Raw genomic sequence first — 13173 nt, 5'->3', positions numbered from 1 at the left:
CAGTAGACACTATTGATGCCTCACCCATGTCACCTTGTGCTTACCATTTCTGTGCACACAGCTGCCAGCACCTGTATCCCTGTGCCTGGAGCCTGTTTCTGACCACTTGAGCCTTCTCTGTCAAGCAGAAGGTGCCAGGGGGTTAATGCTCCCTGGGAGCAGCCCTCAACCAATGACTGATGGGAGCTGGTGGATAAATACCCCAGCTCCCTCACTCCATGGATGGAATATTCCCAAGTAATTGTTCTGTGCCAGCTCTCAGATCCCCAGTGGGACTGTGCCCCAGTTGCCCACAGCAGTAACCTGCTCATTGGCTACCTTCCCTTCCCTGCCTCCTTCCAGATATACTACTTGTACTTAGACCCTTATCTCAGGGTCGGCTACTGAGGAACCCAAACGCAGACATGTCACTTTGTTTGTTCTGGTCCTTCGTCCTGCTGGACTAGCCCCAGATCCCCTGTAGGTCCCAAAATGGTGCCTGGCCCATAGCAGGTACCTCATAGTAGGTACCAGTAAATGTTGAATGACTTGAATCTGTATTAGAAAATCCTCTAAATGAAATATAAGCAAAACCTGTTTTTCTGTGGATTGTTCTCTCTGCCTGCATATGCCAGGGCCATTCCCACTTCTGTGCTTTAGCCCTGCCACCCCCTGCCTGGTCCTTTCCTATGGAAATCTGTAAGACTTAGCTTTAGCCAGGCACGGTGGCTCATGGCTGTAATCCCAGGGACTTGGGAGGCTAAGGCGGGAAGATTGCTTGAGGCCAGGAGACCAGCCTGGGTAGATAACATGGTGAGACCCAGTCTCTACAAGAAATTTTAAAAATTAGCTGGGCATGGTACTATGTGCCTGTAGTCCCAGCTACTAGGGAGGCTGTGGCAGAAGGATTTCTTGAGCCCAGGAGTTTGAGGCTGCAGTGAGCTATGATCGTGCCACTGCAGTCCAGCCTGGGTGATATTAATAGAATGAGACCCTGACTCTTAAAAAAAAAAAAGACTTACCTTTAGCCTCAGCACTTCCCCACCTTGCACCACCCCCAAGAACACCCTGTCTGCCGCAAGTCAGCCTGCCCTGGTAGTTCCCTTCCCTGAATTGCTACTGAGCTTCAATAGCACTGCCCAGCCTTGCACTTGCCGCTGATTTTGTTACATGTGTTCATTTTTTTCTCCACTGTGCTCTTCCATTCTCAAGGGTAAGTCTCACAATCCCAAGGGCTTCCTGTTAGTCACTTCTCCTTCTGTCCCCAGGAGGAATTCGAAGGTCTGACTCCATTATGAATCAGGGAAGATCAGTGTCATTGGCAAAAACAGCTTTTTTTTTTTTTTTTTTCAGCCATGTCTCAAGAAACTTGCAAGTAAATGCAAGGCTTAGTTGTATGTGGATGGGTGCAGGAGTGGTGGGGCGCACAGAGATGGGGGAGGGGGATCTGGTAGAGAGACCCTGTGGCCATGACCTGCCTTAGCCCCACAAGCTTTTGAGCCCTGTTCTTGAACTCGATATGTCTTGAGTTTCACAGGGGGAATCTCTCACCCAGCTCAATGTGGTTCGCCTTCAGGGGTCCCTGCCAGAGCCTGTCTGGATTAGGCAATCAGGAAAGCCGACGAACACTGGGGAGAAAGACTTACATGGACAGGGCATCCCAGATATCCCCTGCGGGCCTCCTTCCTCATTTCCAAGTTTCCTTATTAGATGGCGGAAATGTGTCTTATTCAGTCAAGAAGGACCCAGGCCAAGGTGAAAGGGGCACGGTTAAGCTCTCTGGGCCTGGAGTCACTCAAGCACCTGGAGGGAGCGTTCTCTCCCTTAGAGACAGTTTTCATTTCCACCTTGCTCAAAACAAAAGCCAGGCGGCTGGAAAAACAAATGCCTGTGCAGGAGTTCTTCTCACATCTATGCTGACTTTTCCAGACCACAGATTGGGACGTGCTGACGGACAGGCATGGGTAGATTTATGGCAGGAGATCAACATGAGATATCGGGGGCAGGAAGTGTGGCCTTCCAGTGCGCAGGGGCTGGCTGTGTGTCCTTGGGGTGGGTGCTGGGCTGGTTGCATAAGGGCCACAGGAAGTGTCCCTCAGGCTCAGGGCATGGGTTTCTCTGTAGTGGCCTGAACTCTGAGAGGAGCATAGGAAGGGAAATGCCTTTCTTCCTTAGTGTGGAGTTGCTGTTACCCTGGAAACGGCCCTTCTGGCCTACAGGGCCTAATAACATTCCTCAAAGTTTTCAGGAGTTGTGAGTTTTGGAATGATGACATGAATGTGGCTTTGTAGGGGCAGAACTCTGCCTCCGGAGTTAGGCGCATGAAGGAAAACACAGCAAAACAAAATGGAAAATGCAGCCTGTGGTTTAGAAAGACTATGGGGTTGTAGAATCGTAGCTGTCGAATGGGAAACTTCTGTGCATCTTTTTCCTTCTTTGATGGTAATTCCTGCGGTGTCCTAGCAAAGTCGGAAGTAGGATTCAAGTTTGGGGATTTTAGAATGCCCCTGGCTATGTACAGGGTTCCTTATTCCTCAAACGGTAGCTCTGTGGATCTCTGCAGTTGTATGGTTGGCTAGGAAAGCAGAAATTGTCATATTACAGAAATATTCAGTAATGAATTTTGCATGAAATTTGCCCCCACGCAGACATCCTTCACTCCTTCCTTATCAGCTACCTATGTCCTGCCCTTTGGTTGCCAGGAAGCAGACCACAGCCCAATACCGTGTGGTGCAACTGTGAAGTCCAGAACTGCTGGATTTTCTGAAATCAAATGAGGACGATGCCGGAGAATTACTTCCATCTCATGAGGAGTCACTAATTGGGATCTTGAGTGAGTTAGCTCGGTTCTCAGCCAAAGAGATGATCCATAGGCAGGAGGCATGATGGGAGTTTCCAAAAGTGGACCTTTTGAAGAACAAAGAATCAAGAGAGACCCTTGGGATAGCTGATGAAGGCCTTGAACCTTTTTGCCAAAATGACCCTGTTTATGATGGTGTGTGAAAGTCAAGGGTGAATTGGAGGCTGTTGTGTCTCTAGATGATTTGGTCGGGGAAAAGAAAAGCTTTGAACTCCCAACCAAACTTGTCAGCACTTTGTTACTGCTAAGAGTGGTGCACAGTTGCACTTAGAAACTCCATTTTCTTAAATATGAAATGACTTATTTTTTCCCCAGCTTCATTGAAGTATGGTTCAACAGAAAAATTGTATATATTTGAGCTATACAATGTTTGATGTATGTATACATTGTGAAATAATTAGGACAATCAAGCTAATTGACATATCCATCACCTCACATAGTTACCATTTTGTGTGTGGTAAGAACACTTGATATTTATTCTCTTAGCAAATGTATACAATACAGTATTATTAACTACAGTCATCATTCTGTATATTAGATCTCCAGAACTTATTCATCCTTCATAACTGAAACTGTACCCTTTGACCAACATCCCATTTACTCCGTGTCCCAGCCCTTGGCAGCCACCATTCTACTCTGTTTCTTTTTGAGATGGAGTCTTGCTCTGTTGCTGAGGCTGGAGTGCAGTGGTGCCATCTTGGCTCACTGCAACCTCTGCCTCCTGGGTTCAAGCAATTCTCTTGCCTCAGCCTCCCAAGTAGCTAGGATTACAGGCACCCACCACCAGGCCCAGCTAATTTTTTTTTTTTTTTTTTTTTTCTTTTTTTTAGTAGAGATGGGAGAGATGGGGTTTCACCATGTTGCCCAGGCAGGTCTCGAACTTTTGACCTCAGGTGATCTGCCCATCCTGGCCACCCAGAGTGCTGGGATTATAGGCGTGAGCCATTGTGTCTGGCCCACTCTGTTTCTATGAGTTCGACTTTTTTAGATTCCATATATAAATGAAACCAAAAATAACTTATTTTTATGATTCAAGTGTCATTTTTGAGATTAAGTCCCAGTTCAATTTTTTCCCCTGTATTTACTTGGAAACCTTGGTCTCTATTTCAATTGGTTCACTGTAAGTGGGCTTTCCCCATGTGGGTTGACCTCAGGTGACAAAGGTCTCCAGCATTTCCAGGAGCTGGCAAGCTTGGTGACTTTGTTTCTCTTTGGTGGAGGGAGAGGATAAAGGCTCCAGAGGATGGAGTGGCATGGGCCGGCTGTTGCCCCACGCAGGATAGGGGGGTAGCATTTAGGGTTGGAGGCTCAGAAACAGTACATGTAAAACTGCCCAACTACCTGTTCAACTTCCTTCACATCTCCCATACCAAATGCTGGAGAAGTTCCTCAAATGTTTCCCACCGTCTCCCTCCTTGTAGCACCTCTCCAATCCATAGCCCCCTCTCCATCTCAGCATGCAGCTACTTCTTCCTCCTGATTTGAAGGCCCAAACCCTTGCCCTCAAAATCCCCCATCACTCTCTCCTCTTTCTTTTTCTTTTCTTCTTCTTTTTTTTGAGACAGGGTCTTGCACTGTCACCCAGGCTGGAGTGCAGTGGCACTTTCATGGATCACTGCAGTCTCAACCTCCTGGGCTCAAGTGATCCTCCCTCCTCAGCCCCCCAAGTAGCTGGGACTACAGGAGTGCGCCACCACGCCCAGCTAAATTTTGTATTTTTTGGTGGAGACAGAGTGTATTAGTCCGTTCTCACACTGCTCTGAAGAAATACCTGAGACTGGGTAATTGACAAAGGAAAGAGGTTTAATTGACTCACAGTTCTGTGTGGCTGGGGAGGCCTCAGGAAACTTACAATCATGGCGGAAAGCACCTCTTCACAGAGTCGCAGGGGAGAGAATAAGTGCCCAGCGAAGGGGGAAGCCCTTTATAAAACCATCAGATCTTGTGAGAACTAACTCTCTATCAGGAGAACAGCATGGAGGTAACTGCCCCCACGATTCAGTGATCTCTACCTGGTCCCTCCCACAACATGTGGGGATTATAGGAACTACAGCTCAAGATGAGATTTAGGTGGGGACACAGCCAAACCATATCCTGAGGTTTCACCATGTTGCCCAGGCTGGTATTGAACTCCTGAGATCAAGCGATCTGCCCACCTCGGCCTCCCAAAATGCTGGGATTACAGGCATGAACCACTGCGCCTGGCCTCTCCCCTCTTTCATAATCGACATCTAGTTGTTAGTAATGCCTGTTGGTCTTACCGTCAAAACACTCCTAGGCCGGGGTTGTTGGCTCACGCCTGTAATCCTAGCACTTTGGGAGGCTGAGACAAGAGGATCCCTCGAGCCCAGGAGTTTCAGACCAGACTCGGCAACATAGTGAGACCCTGTCACTATTTTTGTACAAAACGAAACAAAGCAAAACCAAAAATCCCACTCCCAGGCTTTTTTCATGGGTACCTGCCACCAGCTTTCTCTGCTAATGACTTCTCTCTGGCCTCTCTGCTTCACTTCTGCCCCCTGAATTTGAGTTTCAGTGAAGCCACTGTGCCCCTGTCATGTCATCATTCCTCAGCTCAAAACCCTTGAAATTTCCCAGCTCATTCAGAGTAAAAGCAGCACTGACTGAAACACAGTGTCCTGTAAGGCCTACACGACCTAGTTCCCATCGCCTGTCTGACTTCACCCTCTATTCCCTCCTCCTTGCTCCCTCCCCTCCAGCCACACTGCCTGGAACATGGCAGGCCTGCCTCTGCCTGCTCCTGCCTCAGGGCCTTTGCACTTGTTCCTCCTCTGCCTGGAATGCTCCTCCCTCTGCCTGGAAAGCTCCTCCCCCCAGGTAATGCCTTCAGTTCCTCCCTTCAGGTCTTTATGCAGATGTCAGCTTCTGGGGAGGACTTCCTTTACTCTGCCTTTCCCCAACTATATACTCCCTATCCTCCACTCCTGTTTACTTGTACACCTTGGCACTCGTTAACATCTGACATGCTATATAGTTTACTTGGTTATCTTGCTTCTGGCTTTTTGTCTCCCACCAGAATGGCAGCTGCCATGAGGGCAGGGATTTTTAAATCTATTTTGTTTGTTTGTTTCTTTCTTTTCTTCTTCTTTTTTTTTTTTTTTGATTTGCCCTTTCACCCAGGCTGGAGTGCCGTGGCGTGATCTCGGCTCACTGCAACCTCCCATCTCCTGGGTTCAAGTGATTCTCCTGCCTCAGCCTCCTGAGTAGCTGGGACTACAGGCGCATGCCACCACGCCCAGCTAATTTTTGTATTTTTAGTAGAGACTGGGTCTCACCATGTTGGCCAGGCTGGTCTAGAACTCCTGACCTCAAGTGATCCGCCTGCCTCAGCCTCCCAAAGTGCTGGTATTACAGGCATGAACCACTGTGCCCTGCCAAAAGTCATTTTGTTTCTTGTCATGCTTTTAGTTCAGTGCCCGGCACTCAGTGGAACCTCAATATTTGTTGAAAACGTGAATGCGTGGGGCTTGGGGCAAATGCTGGAATCGCAACTTGATAATAAAGTGGAGACAGAGCAGGAAAAGCAATGATTCTCCTCACATGCCCCAGCCCTGAAACTCACGCTGTCTCTGACCAAGGCCTTGCCACCCTGAAGGCTCTGGGTACTCCATAAACAGAGGTCTCAGGAGGCCTCCCCCAATCACCAGTGCGTGGCTGGAGGGCTCAAGGTTGGGCACCTGGGGGGCCTCTCTGGGATTTCAAGTATGGGAACCTTTGACCAGCGGCGCAACCGAGGGGTGGAGTAATGCCTTTGTGGCATTTTGCTCCTGCATACTGGCAGGTGAGGCTAGACTATGCAGACCCTTTTATATCTGCCACAGCCCTGGGACCAGACGCTCTGGCCCTCGCAGATGTTTTATATATGTTTTTGTGGAGTGAAAGGGAAAAAGACGCAGCAGCAGGTGTCTACACTGGCCAACGCCAGCGAGGGCGGGGAAGGGCATTCTTACTTCAGAGAGTCCACAGATCCAGCTTCTCATCTCCCATAGCCCTCCCCCTTTTGACCCCAGGGCTCCCCTGCAGGTTTCTGCCTTTGAGAGCCACCTTGCCCAGGGAGTGCCCTGCCCACAGCCTGCAGGGTGGAAAAGAAAAGTTGTTTTCCCGGCTGGCTGCTTTGGGGACTTTACCGCCTGCAGTGGTCTGTAGTCCTAGCTCAGCTTTAGAATCCTCTGGGAGCTTTTAAAAAATCCTTCATACCTGGGCTCCCACTCACTTAAATTGAATCCAAATCTCTGAGGATGGAACCCAGGCATTGCTAGCTTCAAAAACCACAACAACAGGACAGGCATGGTGGCTCACGCCTTAAATCCCAGCACTTTGGGAGGCTGAGGCGGGTGGATGACTTGAGGTCAGGAGTTCGAGACCATCCTGGCCAATATGGTGAAACCCGTCTCTACTAAAAATACAAAAATTAGCTAGGTTTGGTGGCGGGCGCCTGTAATCCCAGCTACTCAGGAGGCTGAGGCGAGAGAATCACTTGAACCCGGGAGGTGGAGGTTGCAGTGAGCCCAGATCGAGCCACTGCACTCCAGCCTGGGCGACAGAGTGAAACTCTGTTTGAAAACAACAACAACAACAGCAACAACAACAACCACCTGGTGATTCCGTTGTGCAGCCAGGTCTGAGGCCTGCGGTGGTGCTGGTTGAGAGATGTGCCCTGGAACCTGATCTACTGACCTTTGCCATCTGGTACCCTCCCCTTGGCCAGTTCATGCCTTGCCGGCTTTCAGAGCTTGTCACCAGCGCTTTCATTTGCAAAAAGTCTTCTGGACACGGGGCCTGACTCCTCGGATCTCTCCCTCTTGCCGCAGCCCGCTTGTTTTTGGAACCGGCTGTTTGGTAATTAATCACTCCTTCCAGGGCCCATTCTCTGCCCCTTGCATTGTTATTTATCTTCTCCAGTGTTTACTGCCTTGACTCAACTTGGATTATATACTCCCTCCTCTTACTTAACCCGGGTTCCATTGGGTACAGAATCAATGAAAAAGAATTTCAAAGTGCAAATGCCCTGGCTCCAGAATGAAGGGAGTTGAGAGATAGAAGATATTCCTAGTAGTTTCTCTTGGGGTTTTTGCTGGCCTTCACATTCGGGAAGGGAGGCCCCTCTGCATTTGGGAAGCACAGGGATTCCCGTCAGGGGGTTCCAGGTTCCCCGCACAGGGTGAACCACATGAAACATTTGTTGATTGGCTGAAGACAGCCCTGGAGCCGGTAGAGAAACTTCTGGGGACAAGTGCACAGCCGGGTACTGTGAAGAGTGCTTAATTCGGACCTCCTTTTACAGAGGAGGAGACCAAAGCCAGAGAGAGGAAGTGAGCTCTGGAAGGCCACCCAGTGAGCTCCTGCTAGAGCCAGCCCCAAAAAGCAGCCGAACTCAGCCCAGCTGCCCCGTCTCCTTCCACGACCTCTGGCTGCTTCCTGGAAGGCAGGATTACTAAATTGATAGACGGCAGGAGGTCCGTGAACTTGGATGGGAAGAAAAATTACATCTTCATTTTCGCTAACCTCTCACTGAAATCCTTTAATAGACGTAGGAAACAAACCACAGTGATATTGGCAGGAGCTGTGACTTTGTCGCCAACAGAAATCACAGATATTTCCATATTATGTTACAGTTACTGCAGGTATCTCAAATACCAATTACACTCATCATTGTTTTGAAATTACAGCAGTTATTTTACCTAGTTATTTAATTCATTAAATAAGTACGTATATGACTACATCACCAAATATTTTCATGCTTATTTCAATATAATTGGTTTGCTTTGCAATTCCATGGTATTTTATTGTATGCACTTAAAGTATTATTCTGAGAAGGCTCCAAAGGGGCCACAGGGCAAAAACAATTACGACCCTATTGGGCTCGGAACACAATACCCCAAAGTATGGCACTTTGGCATGCTGAGTGCTTTAAACCAAAGGAGATTGGAGGGCCTCAGACGCAAAGTCTCTCTGAACCTCTCCTACTCTCCTGTCTCTGACTTCTTTTTCCCCTACAAAGGAAGTCATAGAAACCAAAATTCCTCTTCCCAAAGGCGAATCATGGAAACTAGAAGCCTTCTCTCCCAAAGCAAGCCATACAATCTAGAAAGGTCACTCTCTCCCTTTTCCCTTCTGTCTTGAAGACCCTCATTTCAGAGGGGTCCTGCCTCATACCTGAAAGGAAGGAATGCTATACAGACGGGCCAAGAATCTGGACAGGGCTTGCTGGGATTCCTCCTCAGTCTATTACCATGAGATCATACCCTTTTGTCCAGTCACATTTCTACAAGGCTGCCCATTCTTCATGGAATGTAAGCATAAAAATAGACAGTTTTGGCTGGGCGGGGTGGCTCAGGCCTGTAATCCCAGCACTTTGGGTGGCTGAGGCAGGAGGATCACCTGAGGTCAGGAGTTTGAGACCAGCCTGGCTAACATGGTGAAAACCCATCTTTACTAAAAATACAAAAATTAGCCAAGCGTGGTGGTACACACCTGTAATTCCAGCTACTTGGGAGGCTGAGGCAGGAGAATCACTTGTACCCGGAAGGCGGAGGTTGCAGTGAGCCGAGATCACACCACTGCATTCCAGCCTGGGCGACAGAGCGAGACTCCATCTGAAACAAACAAACAAACGAACAAACAAACAAACAAACTTCGATTAAATAGATTTGTTATGCTTTTCTCTTGCTAACCTGTCTTTTGTCATAGGAGTGTTGGCTGTGACACTTATGATGACTGAGAAAAGGTATCACACATTCCGCCCCTACAACCCCTTCTTAAGGACTGGTTTCCATAAAACACGCAGGACATCTTCTGCTACAGTCTCAGCATGATGGATGGTTAGAGCTCAGCCTGGGTGACACCAGGGCTGAGTTCCCTTCTCAATTGTTACTCAATCTCTCCGAACTCAGCTTCCTTGTTCATAAAATAGGGATAATAATAGTCCCTACATTTCAGAGTTGCGAGGATGAGAATGCACATACAAGGTTTGTTCCAGGGCTTGGCCAAGGGTACAAGTTCAATCCATACCAATGGTAGCGGTCACATGCCAATTTCTTGGGGTACTAGTTGGCAAGAACCATTTATTTGTCCAATTCAAAAAGAAGAAAAAAAAATCTTTGCTAACTTGTCAAACGTTTTCAAACCTCAGTTCCCAGGTATCAAAAACGATTGTCTGAGACCAGATGGCCTAAAATGATGTTTTCAATTATATTAAAATATTTTTTTAAAATTGAAGTGTAGCTTATATATCATAAAGTGCACTAGTCTTAAGTGTACAACTCAATAAAATTTTACATATGTCTAGATTCATGCAATCAGCCCCAGATCAAAACATAGAACATTTCCAGCCATCTAGAAGGTTCCCTCTTGCCCCTTCTCAGTCAATACTACCCCCTGCCTCCTTAACCACGATCCTGAGTTCTGTCGTCATTGATTGGTTCTGTCTGCTCTAGAAGTTCATGTAAATTCAATCAGAACATACGTACTCATATGTGCCTGGCCTTTTTTTCAGTCAGTATATCTGTGAAGTACCTCTACATTGTTGCGTGTATCAGTAGTTCTTTTTTTTTTTTTCTCATTGCTAGGTAGTATTCCATTGTATAAATACACCACAATTTACTTATCCATTCTACCTTTGATGGAAATTTGTGTTGTTTCCTTTTTTTTTTTTTTGTCTCTTATGAATAAAGTTGCTGCAAATGTTTATGTACATGTCTCCATGTGGCCATATGAACTCATTTCTCTTGGGTATTCCTGGGAGAGGAATTCCTGGGTTAGAACATCTGTATATGATTAATTTTAGTTTCAATTACATTGAAAAAGATTTATTCAGGGCTGGGCCCAGTGGTTCACACCTGTAATCCCAGCACTTTGGGAGGCCACGGCGGGCAGATCACTTGAGATCAGGAGTTTGAGACCAGCCTGGCCAAAGTGGTGAAACCCCGTCTCTACTAAAAATATAAAAATTGGCTGGGTAAGGTGGTGCTCACCTGTAATCCCAGCTACTTGGGAGGCTGAGGCATGAGAATCTTTTGAGCCTCGGAGGCAGAGGCTGCATGAGCTGAGGTCATTGCCACTGTACTCCAGCCTGGGTGGCAGAGAGAGACTCTGTACCAAAAAAAAAAAAAAAAAAAAAAAAGATTTATTCTGTAAAGAATGAGGCCTTAGATAGAGCGGTATGTGAAACAGTTGCTCCATGAACAAGAGTTCCCCCAAACTTGCCTTCCAAGGCAGCAGGAATCCCAACACTGAATAATTTTTTTTTTTGAGAAGGGTGTCTCACTATATTGCCCAGGCTGGCCTCAAACTCCTGGGCTCAAGCGATTTTCCTGCCTTAGCCTCCCAAGTAGCTGGTATTACAGGTGCATGCCACTGCACCCAACTAAACACCAAGGTGGTTGGTTTTTTTTTAAATATTATTATTATTAACTAGATTTTGTTTGCCAATCATGGCTTCTATTTTGGTCAGAGAAAGAGGCTTCAATGCAGAAGTGGATGAGGGTGAATTAGAAGAAAAATGAACACAGGAAAGACCCTCCTAAGAGGGTTCAGAGGCCAGGCATGGGCTGCTGAGATGCTTTAGGACAGGATTAGACCAAGCCCAAGAAGCTGGCAGTCCTTGGAGAGGGAGACAGACTGGCTCCCCTTTCTCTGCTCCCTTCTCAGACTGCCCTGCCCAGCAGCAAGTCCCTGAAGGTGACCACCTAGGGCTGATCAACCTGGCCTCCCTCTCCCTGTATGCATTTTTAATTAAGCAGTAGCACTCACAGCTCACTTGCCTTTTAATGTAAACCCCAACCCTAGGGCCTCCAATTAAGTAAAAGCTTTATACCTGGCACCTTCTTAATCAGGACAGTTGGTGCCAGGCAGGTTTTTCTGGAGCTGTGGCTCTCCAAGTGCAGTGCCTGGAAGAGCAGCATCAGCATCACCTGGGAACTGGTCAGAAATGCCCATTCCTGGGCCCCACCCCAGGCCTCAGAATCAGAAGTTGTGGGGTGGGGCCTAGCAATGGGTGTTTTAACAAGCCTCCCCCCACTCCTGGAGTATTCTGATGCACATCAAAGTTAGACAACCACCAAGCCACCCTGGTTTACAACCTGCCTTTGCATTGGAATCATTTGGGGATTAAAAAAAGAAAAAAACAACTTCTGCCTGGTCTACCCTAGAGGTGCTGATGTAATTGGTCTGGGTATGTAGATTTTTATTTTTTTTATTTATTTATTTACTTATTTATTTATTTATTTATTTATTTATTTTTTGAGACAGAATCTCACTCTGTTATCCAGGCTGGAGTGCAGTGGTATGATCATATAGCTTACTGCAGTCTTGACCTCCCGGGCTCAAGTGATCCTCCCACCTCAGCCTCCTGAGTAGCTGGGACTACAGGCGGGCACCACCATGCCTGGCTAATTTGTGTATTTTTTTCAGAGACGGGGTTTCACCATGTTGGCCAGGCTGGTCTCGAACTCGTGAGTTCAGGCAATCCTCCTGCCTTGGCCTCCCAAAGTGCTAGAATTACAGGTATGAGCCACTGCACCTGGCTGGTATGTGGGTTTTTAAAGCTCCCAAGGTGATACCAATGTGGAATCAAGGTTTGCCAAGATGGAAAGCCTTCCATCTAGGAGAAGATCTTTTTGCTTTATTATCTCTCTGCCAAAGTCTCCTAACCTCTGAGGTTCCCCCTCTGTTCCTATGGTCCTGGTTTAATGCTTTGAAGATTTGGAGCCCATGTTTCATGTTGGAACCAGCTCCTACCTGCACACCAGAGCAGATGGTGTGCATCTCAGCACTGTGGTATTAGTGGCTTGAAGTCAGCTATGGTGGGAATCTTTACACCACAGAAATGGGCAAATGCTACCAGTCAGAGCTATTAGACCCTGGAGAACGTTTTGTCAGTTGTTCACCAGCTCACCACAGGGCAGGTAACCTGCTTGGGTTGCTCAGCCTAAGTCAGGGCTTAGGCTGGGCAACACTTACTCCCCAGGCCAGGGGGCCTAATACAAATGAGAGATGTGTAAGTGATGCAAATGATGAGTTCAGGTGAGTCCTCAGAAGCAAAATATGAGTAAAATATGGTGACAGGGCTAGCTATATAATTTGGGGGACCCAGTACAAAATGAAAATTCAGGGACCCCTGCTCAAAATGTAGGGGGAAAAACGTGCCATTAAAGGTACTAAAATATAAAACATTTTCCTTTCTTCTGTGGTCTCTTTCTCTCAACCAGTACTTGCTACCTAATGTCATATTCCTTTGGGTATGGGATACTCTTGGTGCAAGCGAGGACCCTCAAAACTGCCTGGGGGTCCTGCCTCAAGATTCTGCACTCACC

The 13173-nt window shown here is 47.3% G+C and overlaps 1 long non-coding RNA gene across 3 annotated transcripts in view; it reads right to left on the bottom strand.

Annotated features, from left to right (window-relative positions):
• Nucleotides 1–2328: 2328 nt before the first annotated feature.
• The window catches only part of LOC105373177 (uncharacterized), a 34303-nt gene continuing 23458 nt past the window's right edge, over nt 2329–13173 (bottom strand). Inside the window, exons 2-3 of one of the 3 annotated variants that reach the window (XR_001755829.2) lie at nt 2657–2886; nt 2329–2554 (exon numbers count right to left, since the gene is read on the bottom strand). This is a non-coding gene — a long non-coding RNA (uncharacterized LOC105373177). Of the gene's footprint in view, nt 2887–9334; nt 9374–13173 lie in introns of those variants that run through there. The other 2 variants (XR_949025.1, XR_949024.3) reach the window with 2 other exon arrangements.

The sequence above is a fragment of the Homo sapiens genome, chromosome X, assembly GCF_000001405.40.
Source record: "Homo sapiens chromosome X, GRCh38.p14 Primary Assembly".
NCBI classification, from domain to species: Eukaryota; Metazoa; Chordata; class Mammalia; order Primates; family Hominidae; genus Homo; species Homo sapiens.
The sequence above is the reverse complement of the archived record's forward strand: the minus strand, read 5'-3'. Positions and strand labels throughout refer to the sequence as shown.